The following is a 23,891-nucleotide window of genomic DNA, read 5'->3' on the forward strand; positions in this document are numbered from 1 at the left end:
ACCAGGACCTGTTTTGTAGAAGACAATTTTTCCATGGACCTGGCAGGAGTTTCAAGATAATTCAAGTGCATTACATTTATTATGCACTTTATTTCTATCATTAGTACATTTTAATATATAATGAAATAATTATACAACCCACCATAATGTAGAATCAGTGGGAGGCCTGACTTCCAGACCTAACTACCAGGAGATCTGAAGGGCTGGCTATTTTTAAATGGGCACTGGCGTCTCTGAAGAAATCAAGATGCTGTACAAAGAAGAAGGGGCATACAGATACTAGTGAGCAGCTGGCAGTGCCCTGAACCCTCAGCCCCAAGCTCTGGACCTCTTTGAATTCCTTCCCTTCTGAGAGATTTGGGGAGGGGATGGGTTTACTCAGAGACATTGGAGTGGATCTGATTCGCTTCAACTTTTTTATTCTAATGCGAAGGGACAAGCAGGTGAAATCTCATCACTATAATGCCTCTTAATTGCCCCAAGGGATTCTCCTCTCTAGCTAACTCAACCTGTTTTTCTTCATCTATATCTACATTTTTAATCCCTGCCACCGATTCTAAGGTATATTTTGTGTGTTTGTTATTTTAATTCTTAATTACTGAAAATATTAAACATATGCAAAAGTAGACAGAATAGTACAATGAACCCCCATGTAGCCATTCCCCAGTCCCCAAAATAGTCAACTCCAGGTCTGTCCTATTTCACCTGTAGCCCCACTCTTCCCCACCCAAGATTATTTTGAAGCAAACAGCAGACATCATGTCTTTTCATCTGTAAGTATTTAAATATATATCTCTAAAGGTATGAAGTCTTTTAAAAACATAACTGCAAGTCATCATTATCACACCTAAAAGAATAATTCCTTAGTGTCATCATTTATTTCCATGATTGTCTTATTTTTCAAAATGTGTTAACATTGGGCCAGGCATGGTGGGTCATGCCTGTAATCCCAGTCCTTTTTGGGAGGCCAAGGCAGGTGGATCACTTGAGGTCAGGAGTTTGAGACCAGACTGGCCAACGTGGCAACACTCTACTAAAAATAAAAAAATTGGCCGGGTGTGGTGGTACGCACCAGCAGTCCTAGCTTTTTGGGAGGCTGAGGTAGGAGAATCACATGAACCCGGGAGGTGGAGGTTGCAGTGAGCCGAGACCATGCCATTGCACACCAACCTGGGCAACAGACTGAGACTCTGTCTCAAAAAAAAAAAAAAAAAAGTGTTAACACTGAAATTTAAATAAAACCCAAATATTTTGATTTCTTGATACAAATTTTATATCTCTTTTAAGATACGCGTTTCCTTTCCAACTTTCTATTTCTTGCAGTTTTGTTGCTGTTGTTGAAGACACCAGCTACTCTTTGTTGAACAGTTTACTTCGGTCTGGACTTTGAAAGTAGACCTCAAGGAAGTCAGGGAATGAGCCATGTGTGCATCTGTGGGAGGAGGATTCCAGGCACAGTGAAGCGCAATGGTGAAAACCTGGAAAGGCAAATTGATTGCCTTCCTGTGGTATCATTTAATATGGGGGTACCAGTCCATGGCCTGTTAGGAACCAGAACACACAGCAGGATGTGAGCAGCGGGTGAGCAAATAAAGCTTCATCTGTATTTACAGCCACTCCCCATCACTTGTGTTACCACCTAAGCTCCGCCTCCTGTTAGATCAGTGGCAGCATTAGAGTCTCATAGGGGCACGAACCCTATTGCAAACTGCTCATGCAAAGGGTCTAGGTAGTGTGCTCCTTATGAGAATCTAATGCCTGATGATCTGTCACTGTCTCCCATCACCTTCAGGTGGGGCTATCTAGTTGCAGGAAAGCAAGCTCAGGGCTCCCACTGATTCTACATTATGGTGGGTTGTATAATTAGTTCATTATATGTTACAATGTACTAATAATAGAAATAAAGTGTGCCATAAATGTAATGCACTTGAATTATCCTGAAACCCCTGCCAGGTCCATGGAAAAATTGTCTTCTATAAACAGGTCCCTGGTACCAAAAGGTTAGGGACCACTGATTTAACATATTCATTTTTTGCTTGTATTTTCTGTATAATACAAATTAAAAGTTAGATCTCGATTTTAGGTCAGGATTGACAAACTGAGGCCAGCCCCTGTTTTTGTGAATGAAGTTTTGTTGGAGCACAGCCATGCCCATTCATTCACAAACTGTGGCTGCTTTCAAGCTACAGTGTCTGCCATTGTTGAATAGTTTCAGCAGAGACCATATGGCCCATATTTGTCTAAAATATTTGTCGGACCTTTTAAGGAAAACTTTCTCAGCTCCTGATCTAGAGGTTTGATCAGATTCATGTTTGAATTTTTGACCTATTTTATAGGTGGTAGTATGCACTTCTACTGGGTAGAGCACAATGGTCTGATTTTCTCTCTTACTGTGAGGTTGGCAGTCCTTAATAACCGTTGCTTAGCCCTAGACCCATTAATTTGTGTTTATAAAATGATGGCTTTAAAATTTTAATATTCCTTTTATTTGTTATTTGGAATAGTTTTATAAAACACACTTTCCTTCACCAATTACATACTCTATGGTATAATTTATATAGAAAAGGCAAAATAAATATTTAATTCTCTCTTTCTCATTTTAAAACCAGTTTCCAATATTGAGTTGTTTCCCTAGCATCTTCCAGAGGTCACCAATGTGTTTAAATTTTTCTTAGAATTATTATGAAATCATGATTGGAAACACAATGTGTTTCATTTATTATCCTTATTGATGTTGAAATTGTCCTGTTTGGCCATTGGGAGCCAATTCAAGATGATTCCTGAATCTTTTCCACCCAACCTTAATGGGCTTCCTGGTTTTTTAATATAACAGGAGGTTTCAATTTCATCTCATGTATTTCCTGCTCAGGCCCAGAACTGCCATTTCTCCAAAAAGCCCTATTTTTTTCTTCCTTCTTTTTTTAACGTACAGCCCATATTTCTGGGAGTCCTAATTTGCATTTAGAAACTCCAGTCCGGGTGTTAGAGTTGTGCATTGTTTGATCTTTGTTTCTAGGCCTTCTAAATAGGCACAGCTAAGAAATAGATATTTTTGGTTTATATTTTGATACTTCGGATCAGATTTGGGGCTACAGGGTTTTAATTTGATTTCAACAATCTTACCTCTGTATCTCCTATCTCTCATGATGAAAAATTCCGGTTCTATAAGACACCAATGTAACGACTCATTTGCTCTATCCCAAGATATACAAACAACAGTTGCAAAATATGAATAATAGCACTACTACCAGCAATATGATGATTATTGTAACAAAGATTACTTGCAGTTCTTTTTGTCCCAATGATATATTTTATTATATACATATATAAAGTCAAAATACTATCTTTAAAGTCACTTCCAATACTTCCGCTCTTTGTGGTTATACCGCTAAACAGATGTACATGTCAATTCATTGGTTATTTTATTTTTTAGTTTTGGAATTGCTTGTGTAATTTAATTTTGTTTAAAATTATGTAAAATAGTAATCTGGGTCCAAAGTAAGATCTTAAGAAACCTATATTCTGTCCCTGTTTCCTTCAAACAATTCCCTTCTTCCTTCTGTGCATTTTTTGTGGTTTAATTCTCCACAAACACACACATATTAGTAGTCTTCTCTTCACTGGATAAGGCAATAACATACTCTATACATTTTTTCCTCCTTACTTTTTTTCACTTAACATTATTTCCTGGATATGGCCTGATAGTAATATATAGAGATACACTGTATACTCTATTATACCATGGTGTATGGATATGATATTGTTTATTCAATAAGTCCCTTATTGACAGGCACTTGAGTTTCCAGTATGTGTTATTTTTCTGGTACTTCTACTGTTACACATGTGCTGCAATGAATACCTTTGTGCACGTATCCTTATATTTCGCGCTATCACTGGAAATGGGATTTCTGAGTCATGGGGGAAATTCATATGTAATTTCGCTAGGCACTGCTAAGTCCCCCTTGTTGCAGCTTGGGTTACTGGGAATCTGACTCAGAGATAGAGATACATGTGTGGGAGGTTTGTGAGGGCATGCTCCCAGGATCAGCATCTGTGGAAAGGTGAAGGAAGAAGCACTGGAGACAGGGAGAAGCCGGGCTATGAGGCAAATATTTTTTAGCAATATTTTCACTGTTAAGTGGAACACTGGAAGAAACGTGTCTGTAATAGAAGATTGCTTAAATAAGGTATAGCATATCCTAGAGTGATTGAGTGAGTAATTTTGCAATCATTAAAAATTCTATGTTCAAAGACTTCTTAAAGGAAATGAAAAATATTCATGATAAAATAGACAAAATTAAGATATAAAGCTCTGCATTAAAATGATGCTAAATTCATTAAAACAATATATGTATAGCCAGGAAAATAAAACATTAGAAGAAAATATAATAAAATATTAGTAATGTGTCTCTGGGGCTAAGTTGGTAATTGGTTTCATCTTCAAATATTTTTGTCCTTTCCGAATACTCTATAATTATAAATTGACAAAAAAGACATTTTTAATATTACCTCTTTGCCTTTTCAGAACCCTTAAAAAATAAAAAACCTCTCCCCAGATCACATTAAGATATCTTTCTTTGACCTGATATCATTTATAGTTTTCATTGATTCACCAACAAAAAGGAGAAAGGAACAAATTTTCTTAACATATCAGTTTTTTTCCCTCTTTCTAGTATCTTGTATCCATGTTTTAATTTATCTAAAATATGTGAGTGCCTGTTCTAGACACTATTCTAGGCACTGGAATTCCCACAGCGTTTAAGTCCATATTTTAGGACTAAGAGAAGCGTAGTGAAAGTTCAGCTAATACTGTATAAAAATAAATTCCCACATTGTTAGTTTTGATTAATTAAAACATTTATTGAGAAAACAATGACACTAAAGTATTTGAATATTTGTAATTTCTGTAATGTCCTCAACCAAAATGTTTATGCTTACATATCTTCTATCTTTGCATATCTTTACAAATCAATACATCATTTTTGCTAGCTATGATTACATGCTGCTATTTTGTATTCTCCTTAAAAATATTTTCCCATTTTTATATATGATATTTTTAATGATAATTTTTAATCATAAGTTCTGTAATTTGTTTTAACTATTTCCTCTTTGTTGCATACTCAGATATTTTCTAGTTGAGTATCGGGGGGTTGGCGATAACATATATTATCCATACACATCTTTAAAGTATTTTAGAACTGTCCCTCAATGTAAAGACCACAACATGTAACATTAGATTTCTTGTTTTATAAAATATCAAGATATTTGTTCCTATTCTGGACTTTCTTTCAGCTCTTGAAAATCCAATTTATTCTTCTTAATTAGTTTCAACTCAAACACCCTCCTCAGAGCAGTCTTCCCCAGTGGCCATACTGAAATTTGGACTGTCCATCCAGTTTCACTTCATCACATTTCTCCATTTATTCCTTAAACATTATCACTCTCTATAACTATCTCCGCTGTTTCTTGCTAGGGCCTGTCTAACCAACCAGAATATAGAGCTCCATGATCTTGCCTGTTGCGTTTACTGCTTTATTCTCAGTGCCTGGAGTACTTAACATTAGAGATCAACAAATATTTGTAAACTATATAAATTAATGAAAAAATATGAATGAATACACATCCAAAACCATAACAAGAGAAAAGACAGCCTCATATACTACTGTTAATCCTGCAGACAACTTCCTACTATGGAATATAGGGCTGGGGGTTGCGCCAGAGCCTTCCAGCCTCAGCCAACAATAGAGCCAGAGGGAACCAACTCCTTGAGAGTCTCAGAAGGTCAGAGTCTGAGTCTCTGGCTCAGATTCCTCCCGCCTTCAGAGCAAGTCCCATTAGAGGTTTTCAGTGAACATTCCTGCCACAAATATTGGTCAAAGGCGCTTGGACTGACCCAGCAGGTTCCTTAACTTTAAATCTCGGCTGGAAGGCCCTGGAGCTTCTTAAGAGAATTGATTGCTGGCCTGCCCCAACTCTGCCTGCCAAGGAGTGGGGCAGTCTCTAAACACCAACAAAAGCTCCTCTCACACCCTATCCCCAAGGGCACACCTATGTTTATATAACAGGAGTATACTGCAGTTGCTTTAATATTTAAAAGCAAATCCAAAGGCACTTGCTACCTTTATACCATGACAGAAGAGTCTGGAAGAAAAGTTAACCTCAGATACTAAGCAGCCACCCATTACACTTACACACGGTATAATCTACAAGCTCTAAAATATGTTAGCAGCTGCCCATATAAAAGTAAATATGTAACTGGGCATGCTGATGCACAGGTACTCACATACTCGAGAGGCTGAGGTAGGAGGCTCTCTTGAGGCTGGGAATCCAAGGCTGCAGTGTTCTGTAATTGCACCTGCAAATACGCATTGCACTCCAGCCTGAGCAACATAGTGAGAACCTGTCACTATTTGGTAAGTAAAAATTGTAAATATGTACTAGTGGCTTAGGTTTATGACTGTCTTGAGAATTATTTATTTTCTCTGTCCTCAACACAGTCCTGTAGAGTAGGAAAGTCTTTGTCCAAGGAGTTCCAAGTTACAAGCACCACATACCTTTGTGTATGTATCATTATATTTTGCCATATCACTGGAAATGGGATTTCTGAGTCACGGAGGAAATTCATACGTAATTTTGCTAGGCGCTGCTAAATTCCACTTGTTTCAGCTTGGGTTCCTGGGAATCTGACTCAGAGACAGAGATAATTGTGTGGAAGGTTTATGAGGTTTATATTCAAGATCCATGAATGTAGTTTCCAGGTAAAAACTGAAATGAGACTAGATCCCAGAATTGTTCTCTCCACCAAATCTGACAAAATGAATGAAAAATAATTAATAAATGGCTGGATGTGGAAGGTTTTTATGATGATGACATACATTGCTATGCACTGGCCAAGGAGAACAGGTGATTGATGGGTGGCCCAGGATGGAGTATCTCCTAACACCAGTCAACCTTCCATGTACAATGGAAAGAAAATATTCAAAATCACAAATTCAATAGTTATCATTAATGCTTTCTAATACATAGAAAAGTGAACAAATTGGGTGGATAGACAAGAAAAAAAGCTTTCAAGTGTAAACTCCCCATGTGAGTTCCATCTGTGGTTTGGTGGAAGTGGGCCTAGCTTACTAGGTCCCCTAAGACTGGAGAAACCAGGCCTAATCAAAAATCAAAAATCTGAAATTCTCCAAAATTCAAAACTTTTTGAGCACCACCAACATAATGCCAGAAGTGGAAAATCCCACTTTGGGGACACCTTTGCTTTCTGATGGTTCAATGTACACAAACTTTTTTCATGCACAAACTTATTTAAAATATTGTATAAATTACCTTTAGGCTCTGTGTAAAGGTGTATAGGAAACATAAATGAATTTTGTGTTTAGAGTTGGGTCCCAACACCAAGGTATCTCCTTATGTGTATGCAAATATTCCATAACCTGAAAAAAATCAAAATCTGAAACACTATTGGTTGGTCCCAAGCATTTTCCATAAGGGCTGCTCAACCTGTATTATCTCCTTCAATTCTAACAATAATCTTCCAATAATATCAGAAATATAGTTTATTAAGCCAGGAGAAAGAGTAAACATTATGACATTGTTAGGAATGTTTGTGTGTTTAAGCAGGATTTTGGTCTGACATAGAAATATGAATATATCTGTGCTCACAGGTGAGTAGCATCTGTATTCTGACTATTCCAAATGAGTAATTTTTGTACCTGCAATTTGTTACAAAAGTGAGTTTTCCAAATTATTTTCTTAAATCTGACAGGTTAAATAGTTTAAATAAAATTGTGTGTCTAATAGGCATGATTGAGATCTAAAGAGATTTTACCCTGTATTTACCAGCTTAAAATAAAAGAAAAAAAATAGATTTACAATTTCAAGGCACCTCTCTGATTATCAATGCCCATATTGTTCAGTGATGATGGAGACAGTTTTTAAAGTTTTCTTATTTACTATGATTTATCTGTATTTAAGAAATTAAAAATACAAAAAAAAAAGATACTCAAGTGTTGGGGGCTGCAGGTCTTCAAAATGTTTTTTACAGCATCTGATCAACATAGTTCTCTCTAGTCCTTTTTTTGATGTTATAGATCCTAAGAAAACATCGTTTCTAGATTCTAGTATTTCTGTCCTGTTTATATTTATCAGAGAGTGAAATAAATCCAGAAGAGTATTTTTACATTCTATACAATCTCAACAGAAAAACAAAACAAGCTAAGTGAAGATGTATTTGATTACTACCAGTAGACTTCATTACTTTTATTTTCAAGAAAAAATATATAAATTGTTAGATGTTTTACCTTCAATATGGTGAAAATGACAGCAGCGCACTTCACACTTACCTTTTTATTTAGTGCTGTACCTTCCTAATTTGGCAGTTTTTTAATTGGCATTCAGAAACCTATCGCCCATGTTACCTGTCTGCTCAGATGTGGTTTGCGAACATTTCCTAACCATACCATCCCATCCCTTTCCTTTAGTCCTCAGTGGCTTCCCCTGCACTTCCAGCTCTGAAGTAACACATGCTTTTCCTTTCTTAAACACAGTATTGTTCGCACCTTTGCATCCTGTAAAGCTTCCTTTGCACAAGATATACCTGTCGAAAACCATGTACCCAGATGTAGGTTCCGTCAAAGACTCAGTAATTGAGTGAGAGAGTTCTGGTGTGTAGACAACGGTGGCTTTGGAAGCAAGCCAGCCTGGGTTTAGTAAAAATTAAAGAAATAGGAAAGAAATACAAAAGGTGGCTTGACAGTCACAGACAGGTTTAATTTAGAGAAAATAAACATGGGAGGGGCATCTGGCCGAGTTAGGTCAGAGGCATACTCCCTTACAGACTAAGAGTTTTTAAGGATTCAAGGTGGGAGAGTTTATCAGAGGCCTCGACTGCTTCTGTGTCTCTTTGTTGTGCTTATCTGAGAGGGAGAGTTGTATCTCTGTTCCCATATATCTTTCTGCAGCTGCAGGCATACCCCACTTTTAGCTTCCTATCTTTTAACTTCCCTAACTTAGTGCACCCAAAGGGAAAGGAATGTTCTTATTAAGGCCCACTGTTTAACTGGGGCCCATTGTATGAGGATGAAGTTTGGCAGTTACCCAAGAGACTTTGCTCCCTCCTCCCTCTGTGCCCGAGCTGTCTCATCTGTGTTTTACCGTTCTGCTCTTTCCGGCTGCTTGTAGTTAGAAGAGAAGTGATTTCCTGGAAATGCATGGGGCTAGAAAGGGAGCTGAAACATAAATTAGCGGTGTTTATCCAAGATGACGATGCTCCTGCTTTGTCAGGTTTGCTTCCTGTCCCTGCCAGTTATTAGCTAGGAAACGTGGGGAAAATTGCTTAGCTTTTCCAAACTCCATCTTTAAAGTGAGAATAGTAACTTTCAGGTTTATTATAATGATTGAAAGAGATAATACATATGTTAAATACCTAACATATATTAAACCTTATTAAATAGCAGCTACTTTCATTGTTTTCCACACTTAAACATTGTAAACAGATATTATACAAGATTTAAATATTGGTAACTAGCTGTCTGAGATCATTAATATTGCCCTTAGGATATTGTCAAATCAGCTGTTGAAATTTACCTGATATACTAACTGCTATGCTTACTCACTTTTCCCTCCCTCCCTCCCTGCTTCCCCCTCCCTTCCCCCTCCCTCCCTCTGTCATCCCCTTCCTTCCTTCTTTCCTCCTTTCCTTTCTTTCTTTAGTTTTCTTTTAAGAAATGCCTTTTTATGAAAATATTTCAAAAGGAATTCAAGTTTATTTTGAAAAAAATGCACACCAATACAGAAATATAGAGAGGAAAATGGCAACTCATCCTCCTCACCACACCACCAGCTCCAGTCTCATGCCTCTGGACCAAGGTAGCCAATCCTAAAAGTTTGACATGGATCATCTCAGATGCTTATCTATGTGTGTGTGTGTGCTCTGCACATTGATTTTTTAGTTAATGTATCATGTTGGAGAATGTCTGCCTTTTTACTTCATATTTTTGCAACAAGTTAGCAGAACACAACCTTCTAGGGTCTCAATGTCTTGTCTTCAGGATGCAGGACAATTGTCTTCTGGCTGTAAGTAAGCTTGTAAGTCATTCTGATCAAATCATCTCCATCCTTTTTTTTTTTCCAATGGATGCTGTGAATACATTACCATCTCCAAATGTAATGTCAATTCATATTTTTATTTTCTTTGTAGCAGTTCTTGCTTTCAGTATTGTGTTTTTGCAGGGCATAAAAATTAATAAAAATTTTATTTTTGTTAGAGTGTAACTTTAATCCATAGAAAATGTTCATTTTTAATTTTTCCTCTTTGAAATCACTTGCATCCCTTATTAATGCTGATATGTCTGCTTTTGTGTTTTTGTATTTTTTAAAATAAAACTTTGTTGATTTTGTCATTTTCAATGCTTTTATGTTTAGTTTCAGGTGTGTCTTTTATAAGCAGCTTATATCCAGATGTTTTTAACCCAATCTGACAGCTTCTGTGAGATGGAAATTCAATGCATTCATATATACTGTGATGATTCAAATGTATTTCTTGCTCTTACCCCCTTTTAATTTTATTTTCTATTTTTATGCTTTATTTCTTTTTACATTTTTCCTTGGTTGCTACTAAGCTTTATCCATTTCTTAAATTTCCTCAACACATTTGTAGATTATACATTTTACTTCTATTTTTGGAGCAGTTATCTTAAATTTTAAATTTAATGTTTGATTACCTGAGAAATATAATTGTACATTCTCCTTATTTGAAGAAACAAATTATTGAGGCAAAAGCCCTTTTCATCATCTCCTTCAATGTCAGTCCTTTCTCTCTATCTCACAATCCAAAAGAAAACACTCTTATCAGTTTATTGTGGTTGTTCCCTGACATTTTGGACATATATTGACGTATGTTTACTTTGCTTTATATTGTGTCTTCCATAAGTTGCATCACCAAGTTCTGCTATTTTTGAAATTGTTTTACTCAACAAATATGTTTTGAACATCTTTCCTTGTTAATTAACATAGGTGGACCTATTCTTATTGACTGATAAATAGTAATCCATCATATGATTAAATGCCAATTTTTATTTGCATTCATATTAGTAAACATTTAACTTCTTCATATTTTTTCACTATTACCAACAATTTGCAATGAACTTCCTAGTACTGCCTCCATTTATACTACTATAGGCTGTTTCTCTTTTTAATGTTATTGGATACTGCCAAAATGATCTCCAGTTTTTATGAAAGATTAGTTTTCTCCACACTCTTGCCAACACTTAATATTGTCAGCTTTTGAAACATTTACTAATTTTCTGGGTAAAATATGTTATTATATATAATTTGCATTTGTGTGATTATATCTTTTCAAATGCTGAATATCTCACTTGGATTTCATCTTTCATGAACTGTTTGAGAATATACTTTAAAAATATTTTCTGTTTTTTGCTTTTCTGTTTATCCTTAGAAATTACTCATATATTCTGAATTCTAATTTTGTATCTGTTCAGTCTGTTACAAATATTTGTCTCTCAGTGACCTCACCTTCTTTAACTTTATTTATGCTGCCTTTATGCTAAGAAGTTGTTGGTTTTTTTCTTTAATTCTATGTGGTTCTTGCAGCTTTTGTCAACCATTCTAGTCACTTCCTAGATTCCCAATGCTACTGTAGTTTGTGTGTGTGGGCATGTGGATGAATATATGCAGTCATTTTAATTAGCTGTGGAGAGGATATCTGCAAGTAACTGCAGCTTTCCATATTGAAGTTTTACTACCATTAGCTGAGGCTTTGCCAGGTGCCTGTGAGAAGATGCTAAGAACACTTCGAGTGGAATTTTTCATTATTAAGTCTTGTAGCTCAATGTCATTAACTCCCCAAAATATCTTGAGTTCCAACAGGTAACAAAAAGCCACAGGCAGAACTGATACCTGAACTCTATGACATTTGCCATGTGAGTCTGAAAATGGGATGACAAAACTAAGACATGCCATCTCCTCATTTTCATGCTGAAAAGAAATTAAAGAGAATCTGCACAAGAGTTACATTTTTCAATAATGTGTTACTACTGGAATAAATAAACTATACTTTTTAAAAAATATAACATTTAATTTTTAATTATAAGAGAAATAGATGTTAATTTTAAAATTCGAGAGAATAAAGTTTTATAAAGATAATTAAAATGACCTAAAATCCCACCAGCCAAGACGACCACTGAAGACATTTTTTTTAAACAAAGATATTTTGATAAATATGCTTTAGGTTCTGCTTCTATGTCTGGTTTCATGGTTTTTTATTTTTTTTACCCCAAAATTTGGCTTATTTAGTGTTTGGGGCTCTCTCCACTATTCCAGCGTGTCTCGCTTGCTATTTGAAAACTTGTTAAAGCATAATAAATTAGAAGCCTTATTCAGGGATGGCAGGGATGAGAAAGGGATATCAGGTTGTTATGGGAACCCGTGGTCTTTAGAGCTATTGGTCAAAAATAGAAGCCTCAGGATGGCAGGATGAAAGATCCTCTCTGGAAGACTAAGAGGTGAAGTGAGTCTCTTGGGGAAAGCAATAGCGTAGGCAGAAAAACAATAAAAAGAAGCACAAGGCACCTTTTACAGAAAGGGGTTCCATTTTTTCTTATGACCGTGGCCACCATCTAGTGGTCAGGCTTGGAAGCGGGATTCAGGCTCCAGATACTGAGCACACGGCCAAAGCCCCATGGTGGAGTTGATGGCGTGACCCTGCCTTTTCTCTCCCGCCTTGTGGGGCATCCTTTACTTCCTGGCACGGAGGTACACTTGCATGGGGTTTTCCTGCCACTCTGGTAGGGAGGCCAGGCTGTCAGCCACCTCCTTCTGGATAGGCCAGCCCCAGGCCTCAAAGAAGGGAACCAGATTCTTCTTCACTTTTTCAGAGAACTTCTTCACCCATAGATTCATCCTGCCAGTGTTGTCTTTGGGGAGGTGAGAGAGGGTCTGGTACTCAGCAAAGAGCTGGGTGAATGGCTCCCACCCGAAGGCCTGTTGGAGCTGAAAAGGGAAAGAAGGAACAGAATGAGGTGTCAAGTTTGCAAAAGTGACGTGACATGTGCGTTCTTAAATATATTTCATTCACATGATCACCTCCCCTCAATCGTTACCTTCATCCTGGGTATGTGCCCCTATCTCCCCACTCTGCCCCTGCACAATAATGCAATCTTGTTGGCTCATTCCTCCTCTTGGCCACAAAACAACACCCCCTGAATCTAGTGGGGGTGCTCAGGGGAAACCTAATGTCTGAATAGAGGTAAATACTCAATAAATGTCCACTATTAGTATCTTTAAACAATTGTCTTCCCAGATCTCAAGTGTTTTCCTCAGCATCAGGACAGGTTTGGGCCTGACTGAGATGAGAAACCCTCACTTCCTACATATCTGGCCTATTGAGATTCTAAAAGCTGCGAACCTCCAATACTATACTTTCCAGACATCATAATAATCCTTATTTTTTAATAGCCATCTTGGACCTGTGGCTATCTGCAATGATACAAAATTGCTCTGTAGAACACTGCATTTAGGGCAGAAAAAGAAAAAAATCCAGCCTGTCTCGAGGGGCTAAAAATGAGAGTGGCTCATACTTCATAAGGGGCAGCTAATGAGAGTGGCTCATACTTCATAAGGGGCAGCTCTCCGGAAAGCCCTTGGCAGAAGGCCCTTGTTTACTAAGATTATACAAATTTCCAGTTAGCGGGGATCTGGGGTTTCACATCCCCACTCTCCCTTTAATAGATGAGCATTCTGTGACTGTAGCTCATAAAAGCCCAAAGACAGATAACACCACCGAAGCCAAGCCTACCTCAGAGTCTCACTGTTGTATCCTTATTATTGCTCATCTGTTCTCACTGGCTTGCTCTTTGACACTTATTAATCAATGCATCAATAAATTAAGCATTTATTAAACGTTTAACATGTATTAGACACCCACACACCGCCAGCTACTGTGCTAGGCAAACATCATTAAGAGCTCTTGTCCTTCTAGAGAACACTGGCCAAAGGGAGAAACACACGTAAATAAACACATTGCTAAAACTGTTGGTTTATCAAGGAGGCGATGTCCAGGAGAGAAAGGGCCAACAGAGCTGAATTTGGACAGGTGACTTGACAGCTAATGGACAAGATGTTCCAGCATGATTCAGCAGCAGGAAGCAAACAAGGGGAGGCACAGAAGCCAAAACAGCAAGCTGTGTCCGTAACCATAAGCAGGTTGGCATGCCGAAGGGTAAATGTGGAGGTGAGAGCAGTAGGAGATGTAGCTAGAGGTGCTGGTGAGGCTGGTCATGAAGGGCCTCCTATGCCCTGCTAATGAGCTTTGATTTTACCCTATATATGCTAGAGAACACTGTAAGCATTTGATAGACAGAGTATTAACATTATTTTGGAAGGAGTGTAAGGAAGATGGATCATAGAGGATTGAGGCAAGATGCTGGGACAACTTAGAAGGCTACTGGAATACACTGAGGGAAGACTAACGAGGCCTGAGCTAAGGCAGCAGTGGCACGGATGCTGGGGAGAAGCCCTCTAGCAGGAAGAGGAGTCAGAAGGTGCCTGTTTATCCTGAGGCCAAGTCTCAGACTTGGTCTCTCTAGAGCTATTGAGAACTGATATTCGGGGCTCCACAGTGAGTAGGTAGCAGACTAGGACAGAATTAGGGCTTAAACTTACAGTTTAGGGGCAACCTACCATTGTGGTCAGTGGTCCTGTATACCCCCAGACTGGCTATCTAAGGATATGGAAATGAATGCAATACAAAGTTACCTCATTGACTGGGACTGTCTCACATTCACTCTTCAGAAAATTAGTGAAAGGCACAAAAAACTAAGAGAGGGTATGGCAATGCGAAAGCCTGGGGCTTGTCATTACGTCCTGATTTTAAGTTCTAGGTCCTTCACTTAAATGGGGGCTACTGGAAAGATTGCTTAAATTCTTTAAAATAGTGTGTGCCTCTGTGAAAAGTGGGCCAGACAGCTCCTATCCATAGAGCTGTGGGAGACATTGCAGGAGATCTGAAAGGGGAACAACATTGACAACTTGAAAACATCGACATTCAATGCAGGGCTAGGGGAGGGGGCAGGGATTTGTGTTTATTTCACAGGAAGTAGACTTGCTTTATGAATTCAGTGTTCTACTATTGGGTTGACTGGCTCTTCATTTTAAATCATTTTGGCTTCAAGTGGGGTGATGGATGATGAGACCCTTGTTAGCAGATTTGTCTCCAACAATGCCTTCTTATTGTAATGCAGCTGCATTGCAGACACCCTCCGTTATTATAAAAAAGCATAACTCATTTGACTCATAAAACTCAGGTGAAATAAAACAAAACTAAACAAAGCAATGACCATTTATGGAACACTTATTAGGAGACCAAGAACAAAACCAATGAGGGCAAGAGCTGTGATTCAGCTGCAGGAATGTCTAACAGAGTTTCTGCCCTTGAATAATATGCTATATTTCTATTTTTTTCATAATATTTTTCATTTCCTCTTACATTGCAAAATCAGAAGGTGAGTGAGACAGGTGCCATTCTCTCTGCCTTAGAGGGGTGTAACCCAAGAAGCACCACCCTGCGGCCCAGTCTCTCTCATTTCCAGGGGAGGTGGAGGTCCAGGCTGGTGGAGTGGCGAAGGAGGTGGAGAGCTACTGGGATCCAGGTCGCTACATGACTGAGGGGTCTGGTCATCCCCTTCTCCCAGAATTTCTGCTCAGTACCTGTAGATATGTTTCCAGGGCTGTCCATACATTCCAGTCACACAGGGGGGCTCCCTTTCCCAGGTGGGCCTTGATTCTCCTCTCTCGCTCTGGAGGGCTCAGAGCCTCATGGGCCTGAGCCCTGGGGATCCCCAGGACTGTTTCATGCACGTAGACTGACCAAAGGTTACAGGTGGCCTCAGTAGTGTGTGGGGGGAACTCCCATCCATGCCACTGTTGGTTGTGGCCCAGCTCATGGATGGGGCCCCACACACCCCTGCTCCTCATGTCCATCTCATTGATGATCTCCTTCACAGACTCCAGGTGGCACATGATGGGGTATCCTGAATGCATCCAGCCTGGGAACACAGAAGGAAGAGATGAGCATTGAGGAGGGTCCGCCCAAACTATCTCCTTCATTCTTCTCCATTATTGGACTTTTCTTCACCATCCTGGTTATCCCCAATAATTGCAGAATCTCTGTGCTGATTGGAAAGCAAATAGCTTTCCCCTACTTGGTCAGAAACTGAATAGTACCTAATCCCCTTCTTAGTCTCTCACACCTGAGTTGTGGCCTCCTCCTCAATCTGGCCCTGGAGAATTTGGTTATACTTTACATAGTCATTCTTGCTGTAATTCGACACCTTCATTTTGTGTGTGTGAGTGTCCTTTACATGTCAGTCTGAGATATGATGTCCTCTGACTGGATCTGAGATCCTTGAGGGCTAGAACAGTGTCATTCTTTCTTCCCCATGTATACTACTTTTGTCCAAATTTACACTCTATGACAGAGATAATTTTTGTCCTTATTTGAAGGTATGAAAATTGAGGTCCAAAGAACTTTCCCCATTTGGGATCCAGAGTTCCTTATTTCTCTTCCTATGTACCTCTTTCTTTTTAACCACTCAGTACTTACCATAAACCTCCTTACGTATTTCCTCTTTTCATTTTCAACTCTGGCTTATGTTTGAAGAAAATAGTTGATTTTCTATGTTGTCCTTGAAATGACTCTGGTTGCCATCTATGAATTCCCAATACAACGTTTTCTGAGATTGTTTTACCATCCAGTGAAATCTCACCTTGTAGATGTCAATAATTTGTTTTTCACATGTAAACATTCTTTCATCCCCATCATGGTCAATGTCTTTTATATCTTTTTCCCTTGCTTTACTAATAAAATTATGCTTACACATTTTGGACATTCATAAAAGGCAAAGTAATAGATACATGGTTTCCACTGACTAGGAGGATTCCCTGGGAGCACCCACCAGCTGAGATCTGCACATCAGCCACAATCCTCTCAGGACGGCGGAAAGGGAAGGGCTCAGCCGCCAGCCTGGCCACAGCCTGCATCATCTCATCCCAGAGGCGGAGCACAGGCTCGGGGTCCTTCAGGGCCTGAAGGTTTGTGGTTGGCACTGTCAGGATGATGTTGTCCGTGGCCAGCTCTCCCCAGGGAGCCAGGTTCTCCTGCATCTGCCTCTTCCACTCCTCCAGCGATGTCTTACCTGGGAATAAATATCATGGAACCTACCACACCCACTTCTCCAACTTCCCTTGAGCTGAAAAATACCATTTGAACTCTGGAAGAACATTGCAATAATGAACTACTATCACAGGCGTCTATAGGCTGTAAAGTGAAGAAAAGGCTTCCTGACTCTTCTCTTTGTCTGCCCTGAAGTCTCCATGGACACAGGGTATTCCGTATCTTCTGCCTCCATGTTCCCTCCCAACAGTTCTTCCTCTTTCTCTCCACCAAAGCTCATCCCTCTCCCATTTAGCAACCACCCCACAGTTCCCACGGCATCTGCCACTCTTCCTCCTCCCTAAATGTTCACTCCACTTACCCAGCTTGTAGTATGGGGCAGGCACAGCTCCCCTGATAGTGACAGGCACAGGGCCTAGTTGGCTGCCCTTGGGCACGATGACGTAGAGGAGGCCGCCCCAGAGGCAGGAGACTGACCGCTCAGTCCTGTCCATCCAGCATTGGTGAGTCACCACGGGGGCTCGAGATAGCTTCCTGGCCTTGGTAAGGTCATCGGTGTGGCAGCCTATCTGTACCTGGACAGGTGATTCCACCAAGCGTTGGAGAAATTAGAGTCTTTGTGATGCTTTGTGATGTGCGTGTGAGGTTGTGTAGATGGAAGGTATTAGACAAACATGCCCATGAAACCCCAGCTTCCCTTTTCTATGTGCTAGGCATGGAAACTTATGAAATTTTAGCACTCCAAAGTCATTTGGACTTCAAGGCATTTAAAATCATTTTTCTAAGGATTTAAACAGCTCCACTATAAGTCTTCACCTGACATGAATTGGTGAGAGACAAGGCTGATCCTGGCAAAGGTCTTGTGTCTTTCTGCCAGGCAAAATCCTGGGTTCTTCTAGCAGGACCTAAGCCAGTCTGGGGACGCTGATATTGAGGATGAGCTGGGGGACTCTGCTCTGTCCTCTGTGAACACACAGGAGGCCCATCCAGAGTGAGTGAGGTTGATTCTCTCTCCCTCTTTGCCCAGAGCTTCCCTTTCTGGCCGCCAGATGGGTGGAGATCTGTTTTGTCTGGAGTCCTGGAGTTGCTTTTCTTAGGTTTGATATAAGCAAGCTCCAGAAAGAATGCTGACAGAAAAGGGACCCTAGCTGTGGTAGGAAGTGGCCCTCAGAGTCAAGGAGGCAGGATGAATTTAAATTCTGCATGTAGGGCATATTTTGGGGAGTGATGGGATTATGCACACCCTTCAGGTGTCAAGATAAAGAGATAAAACCAGAGTTTGTGCAGAATGAGCTTGCTGACACACAGCCTAAATTTGTACCGCATGTTTCATACTAACTCCCTCTGAGTTTGCACATGGGACCCATGAGGAGGCATGAAGAGGTAACTGCCCATGCCCGAGGATTTTCCAGCCCTTCCTTTTCTTTCTATCAATCACCTACTAATCACAGAATCCACTCCCTACACCTTTTCTACTAAAATAACTCTTTAAAATAAGTACAATGGGACAGATTTGAGCTGGGCTCCTGTCTCCTTGTTAATCAAATTGCAATAAAATGTTTTCTTTTGTTTTTGTTTTTTTTTTGGTGAAAAACTCAAGTGTCATAGTTTTGGCTTCTAGTCCATTCTGCAGTGAGCTTCTCTTGCTTGATAACACTAGGCACTTCAGTCACTCACTTAGATGCCCTGAAATTTAGCTGCTTCATCTGTAAAATCTGTAAAATGGGCAGAATAATCCATCTCTGTACTCCTGGCAGCATTGCCATGAGCTGGAACTAGACAGTGGATGAGAATGACACAGCTCTACGGTTTTGAGAGGTGGCAGATGTGGGTGTTCAGACCTTACCCTCAGGCCAGCAGAGGCAGCAGCTTCAGACAGTGAGACTTCTGCATTTTGTCCTTCCAGGAGGTAGAGCCCGGTACTCACCCAGCAATCATTGTTGCCTGACAAAAGTCACAGAGAAGGCTCAGTTCTTCCTTCCTATGTGAGTATATCTCCACTTGGGGCCTCCCAGCCCCTCCCAGTGGTACAGCTTCTCCCCTGTGTATCTCAAGTCATCCATACTTCTTAGACTCATCCCCTCTAAACCTTAAGCAGTGTCCCAATCCCCATCTTCTTGAAAGTACCTGATGAAGAATGGAGTCAGCTGGGCCCAGTGGCTCACGACTGTAATCCCAGCACTTTGGGAGGCCAAGGCAGGTGGATCACCTGAGGTCAGGAGTTCCGGACCAGCCTTACCTTTACGGTGAAACTCTCTCTCTACTAAAAATACAAAAATTAGCCAGGCATGGTGGCGTGTGCCTGTAGTCCCAGCAACACAGGAGGCTGAGAGAGGAGAATTGCTTAAACCCAGGAGGTGGAGGTTGCATGAGCTGAGATCGCGCTACTGCATTCCAACCTGGATGACAGAGTGAGACTCTGTCTCAAAAAAAAAAAGAATGGGGTCAATCTTCTTGAGGGTAGGTACCTGCAATGTCCTGTGTAGTGTCAGCCAATCCCACTTTCCCCTACATCTTTAATGTTCTGGGCACTCTCTCCTGTTTTCATACCTGGGTTGATTCCATTGATCTCCACGGTGATGGGGTGTTTTGAGGGGTACAAACTGGAGGAGCAGGTCCAGGTGCCAAGCCCCTGGGCCAGCTGGGAGCAGTCAGTTCCAGAGTGAGCCAGCCCAGTGGCCAGGGAGAGCACCGCAGCCTCATAGGAGTCACTGGCAACTGGATTTTCCCGGCTCACAGCTGGGAGGCCAGACCCTCGTAGCATCTTCCTCAGGAGCCTGTGCAGGGATATGTAAGCAGGGACCCCCTCCGCAGGAATCTGTAGGAAGGCTGCACCATCAACTCTCAACTTTGCCAGACAGCTCTTTTCCAAGTTCCCATTCTCGTGGTTCAGTATAGCCTGGAATTGAGAGAGCGCCTTGCGGAAGTGGTAGCTTCTCATCTCAGGGGTGGGAACGGGGAAGCAGCCTGCTTTGAGAGTCTGAGGCAGGATGCTGAGGCCAAAGCAGTTGAGGATGATGTTACCAGGGAAGCCAGCCAAGGGGCAGTGGCCAGGGTTCTGGGAGGCCCACCACCAGGCCTGGCCCCCAATCAGCAGCCCCCCACCCTCAGCCACAAACTCCTGCAGCTGCTTAGCCTCCTTGTCACTGTATGCCTTGCAGCAGTAGACACACAAGTCGCTGTTCAGATGGGGCTCCAGGCTGCATTGCAGGCCATGCTCCGATAGGAGAGGACACAGATCTTTTAGATTTGTGTTCACCCCAACTTTGCCTGTCTGGCCTCTGGCCAGCCAGCGCACCGCATTGAGCAAGAAGGGCCCCATCTTGGGAGCACAGAGCAGGCACTCGTGGGCAGCCAGGACCACCCGGCCCCGGCCATAGTGAGCAGCCGCCAGGAAGCAGTTGAGTGAGGCATCCAGCCCCAGAGGGAAGGCCAGGGCTCCATGTACAAGCAGCTGTGAGGGGACTCCCCCTGTCCTGATGTCCAGCTCTGAGATCCCCTCCAGGAGCTGCTGCTGGTCCTGCCTGACATCCTCCCCATACCTGGAAGAGACAGGAGAAACAATGAGGCTACAGTCAGTTAATGAGCCACTGAATCGAACTCATTGAGTAGAGAAATCTATGTGCAGGTAAGAAGATTGCACGGTTCATGTCAATCTTCACATTCTTACTAATATTAGGATTTTAGCATGCTAATATCATTTATTTTTATCATATTTAAGGCATATTTTTTCACTGTTTTTACAACTGATGGCATATTATCATTTAATTGGCAATGTTTAGTCTTTCTTTCTTTTCTTTCTTTCTTTTCTTTCTTTCTTTCTTTTTTTATTTGAGATGGAGTTTCGCTCTGTCGCCAGGCTAGAGTGCAGTGGCACAATCTCGGCTCACTGCAACCTCCACCTACCGGGTTCAAGCAATTCTACTGCCTCAGCCTCCCGAGAAGCTGGGACTACAGGTGCGTGCCACCACACCCAGCTAATTTTTGTATTTTTAGTAGAGACGGGGTTTCACCATGCTGGCCAGGATGGTCTGGATCTCTTGACCTTGTGATCCGCCAGCCTCAGCCTCCCAAAGTGCTGGGACTACAGGTGTAAGCCACCATGCCCGGCCTGGTCTTTCTTAGTGATACATAAAATAATGGCATTTCTCACAATCAATTTGTCATAGATTTGAGGAAACGCTATAGAGGTAGTGCCCTTACTTGCATATCTTAAAATCCACATTTTCTAAATGAACACCTCCAGGAATTCCTCCCATTTAGTCAACTATGTGTTGAATATTTAGGCTTCAGTTTCTTGACTTTTAAAATAATTAAACATATAAACAAGTTAGAAAAACTAGTTTATTATGCCCAGAGAAAGTAGTACTGCTTATGAATTTCTCGATCTAACTTTCTGCAAAGGAAGGCTGTAAAAACACCAAATCTGGACTCTCCGTAGGGTAGTTCTGATCTAGGAACACATCACAATTAAATTGTATAACACTACGCTTGAAGATTTATACAAACACACACTGTTTTTAAAACTTCACTTAGATCTGGTTAGAGTATTCACTTCTTCTTCTTAAGGAATGGTCAAAATGTAATGAATCAAGAAAAGGCTTTGTATTTCAAGAATTTTTTTAAAACAATTTGTATATACTGTAAATGTCAAGCAATAGGAGGTTGGTTAAATAAATTATGGTTAACAATAGATTGCAAACCATATAGTGATTAAAATAATTATTAGGTAACTTGAAAAATGCTTAATGGAAAAAGTTTTAAAATTAGATTCCAGGATACCATGCTCTAAATAAGCCAAATTTTGGGGTAAAAAAAATAAAAAACCATGAAACCAGACATAGAAGCAGAACCTAAAGCATATTTATCAAAATATCTTTGTTTAAAAAAAATGTCTTCAGTGGTCGTCTTGGCTGGTGGGATTTTAGGTCATTTTAATTATCTTTATAAAACTTTATTCTCTCGAATTTTAAAATTAACATCTATTTCTCTTATAATTAAAAATTAAATGTTATATTTTTTAAAAAGTATAGTTTATTTATTCCAGTAGTAAAACATTATTGAAAAATGTAACTCTTGTGCAGATTCTCTTTAATTTCTTTTCAGCATGAAAATGAGGAGATGGCATGTCTTAGTTTTGTCATCCCATTTTCAGACTCACATGGCAAATGTCATAGAGTTCAGGTATCAGTTCTGCCTGTGGCTTTTTGTTACCTGTTGGAACTCAAGATATTTTGGGGAGTTAATGACATTGAGCTACAAGACTTAATAATAAAAAATTCCACTCGAAGTGTTCTTAGCATCTTCTCACAGGCACCTGACAAAGCCTCAGCTAATGGTAGTAAAACTTCAATATGGAAAGCTGCAGTTACTTGCAGATATCCTCTCCACAGCTAATTAAAATGACTGCATATATTCATCCACATGCCCACACACACAAACTACAGTAGCATTGGGAATCTAGGAAGTGACTAGAATGGTTGACAAAAGCTGCAAGAACCACATAGAATTAAAGAAAAAAACCAACAACTTCTTAGCATAAAGGCAGCATAAATAAAGTTAAAGAAGGTGAGGTCACTGAGAGACAAATATTTGTAACAGACTGAACAGATACAAAATTAGAATTCAGAATATATGAGTAATTTCTAAGGATAAACAGAAAAGCAAAAAACAGAAAATATTTTTAAAGTATATTCTCAAACAGTTCATGAAAGATGAGATGGAGTTTCGCTCTGTCGCCAGGCTAGAGTGCAGTGGCACAATCTCAGCTCACTGCAACCTCCACCTACCGGGTTCAAGCAATTCTACTGCCTCAGCCTCCCGAGAAGCTGGGACTACAGGTGCTCCAAGGTGCTTGAGTTTGGAAACATGAGACAAAACCAGAAACAGAGACCCTGGGAGAGTCTGTGGTCCCCATTTTTCCGCTGAGCAAACCACAGGCTTGTGTTCTGCCTATCTCCCACTTCGCACATGTACAGCATTGTAGAATATTTACATGGATAAGGATTCTATGATATAGTAGAGTGACTTCCCCTATTGATAACAAACAATTATGTCAGTCCCTACACAACTCTTATGCTAAAGGTAATGGGGAGGGTTGAATGGTACTCATTTGGGCAGCTTTTTTTTGGCTATGTATACTTTCAGAAAGAATTTACCTCACCTAGATCACATGACTAAAATATAGGAATATTAATACCCACTGTGTCTAATTGGCAGATTGTTTTGAGATTTTAAATGAGATCTATTCATGAAAACATTTTGTTAATCTTAAAGCACCACACCAATATCACCTATTATATTGTACAGCCATGATCAACACAATTTCCAATCTAGAAGTCCCTCTCAACTTTTCCTGGGACTGAGCTTTCAGGACTTAGAGTTCCTTCTCCTTCTCATTCTTTTTCTGCGCATAGTCTCCCGGTAAAGTGAAAACCAGCTGAGAAAAGATTCGGGCTGGACAGGCCTCCGTGGCGATTAAGAGTCACGAATGTGATGATATTATTCGCAAACAGCAGTGTAGTCATGGTTCAGAATTTTGGAAACAGTGCCAGGAGGATCTTGGACATAATTTTCAGGGTGTATAAGCCCTGCACTAAAGTAAAGTTTACCAGTGCCAAGAGTTTGACGTTTTCTTCTTCATGTTTTCTTTGGCTGGAGCCTGGCTTTAGTTGAAGAGTTCTGTCAACAAATGGAATTC

The 23,891-nt window shown here is 40.3% G+C and overlaps 1 protein-coding gene and 1 pseudogene across 10 annotated transcripts in view, besides 1 other annotated feature; one reads left to right on the forward strand and one right to left on the reverse strand.

Moving 5' to 3' along the window:
* Positions 1-23,891, forward strand: part of TCAF2 (TRPM8 channel associated factor 2) — a 109,437-nt gene that overhangs the window by 5,940 nt on the left and 79,606 nt on the right. The window contains exon 3 of one of the 10 annotated variants that reach the window (NM_001365427.2): positions 16,951-18,785. The exons of the other annotated variants lie outside the window; for them this stretch is intronic. Coding sequence (NP_001352356.1) covers positions 16,951-17,107 — 157 coding nt within the window. The 3' untranslated portion in view covers positions 17,108-18,785. Of the gene's footprint in view, positions 1-16,950; positions 18,786-23,891 lie in introns of those variants that run through there. 10 annotated transcript variants of the gene reach the window in all.
* TCAF2C (TRPM8 channel associated factor 2C) lies at positions 15,341-20,734 on the reverse strand (annotated as a pseudogene).
* Positions 23,009-23,209: a silencer, noted in NCBI's record as "peak6807 fragment used in MPRA reporter construct". NCBI's record gives its function as "represses an SCP1 promoter by STARR-seq MPRAs in K562 erythroleukemia cells {active_cell/tissue: K562}" and the evidence as "EXISTENCE:reporter gene assay evidence [ECO:0000049][PMID:32103011]".

This window comes from Homo sapiens, chromosome 7, assembly GCF_000001405.40.
Source record: "Homo sapiens chromosome 7, GRCh38.p14 Primary Assembly".
Taxonomy (NCBI): Eukaryota; Metazoa; Chordata; class Mammalia; order Primates; family Hominidae; genus Homo; species Homo sapiens.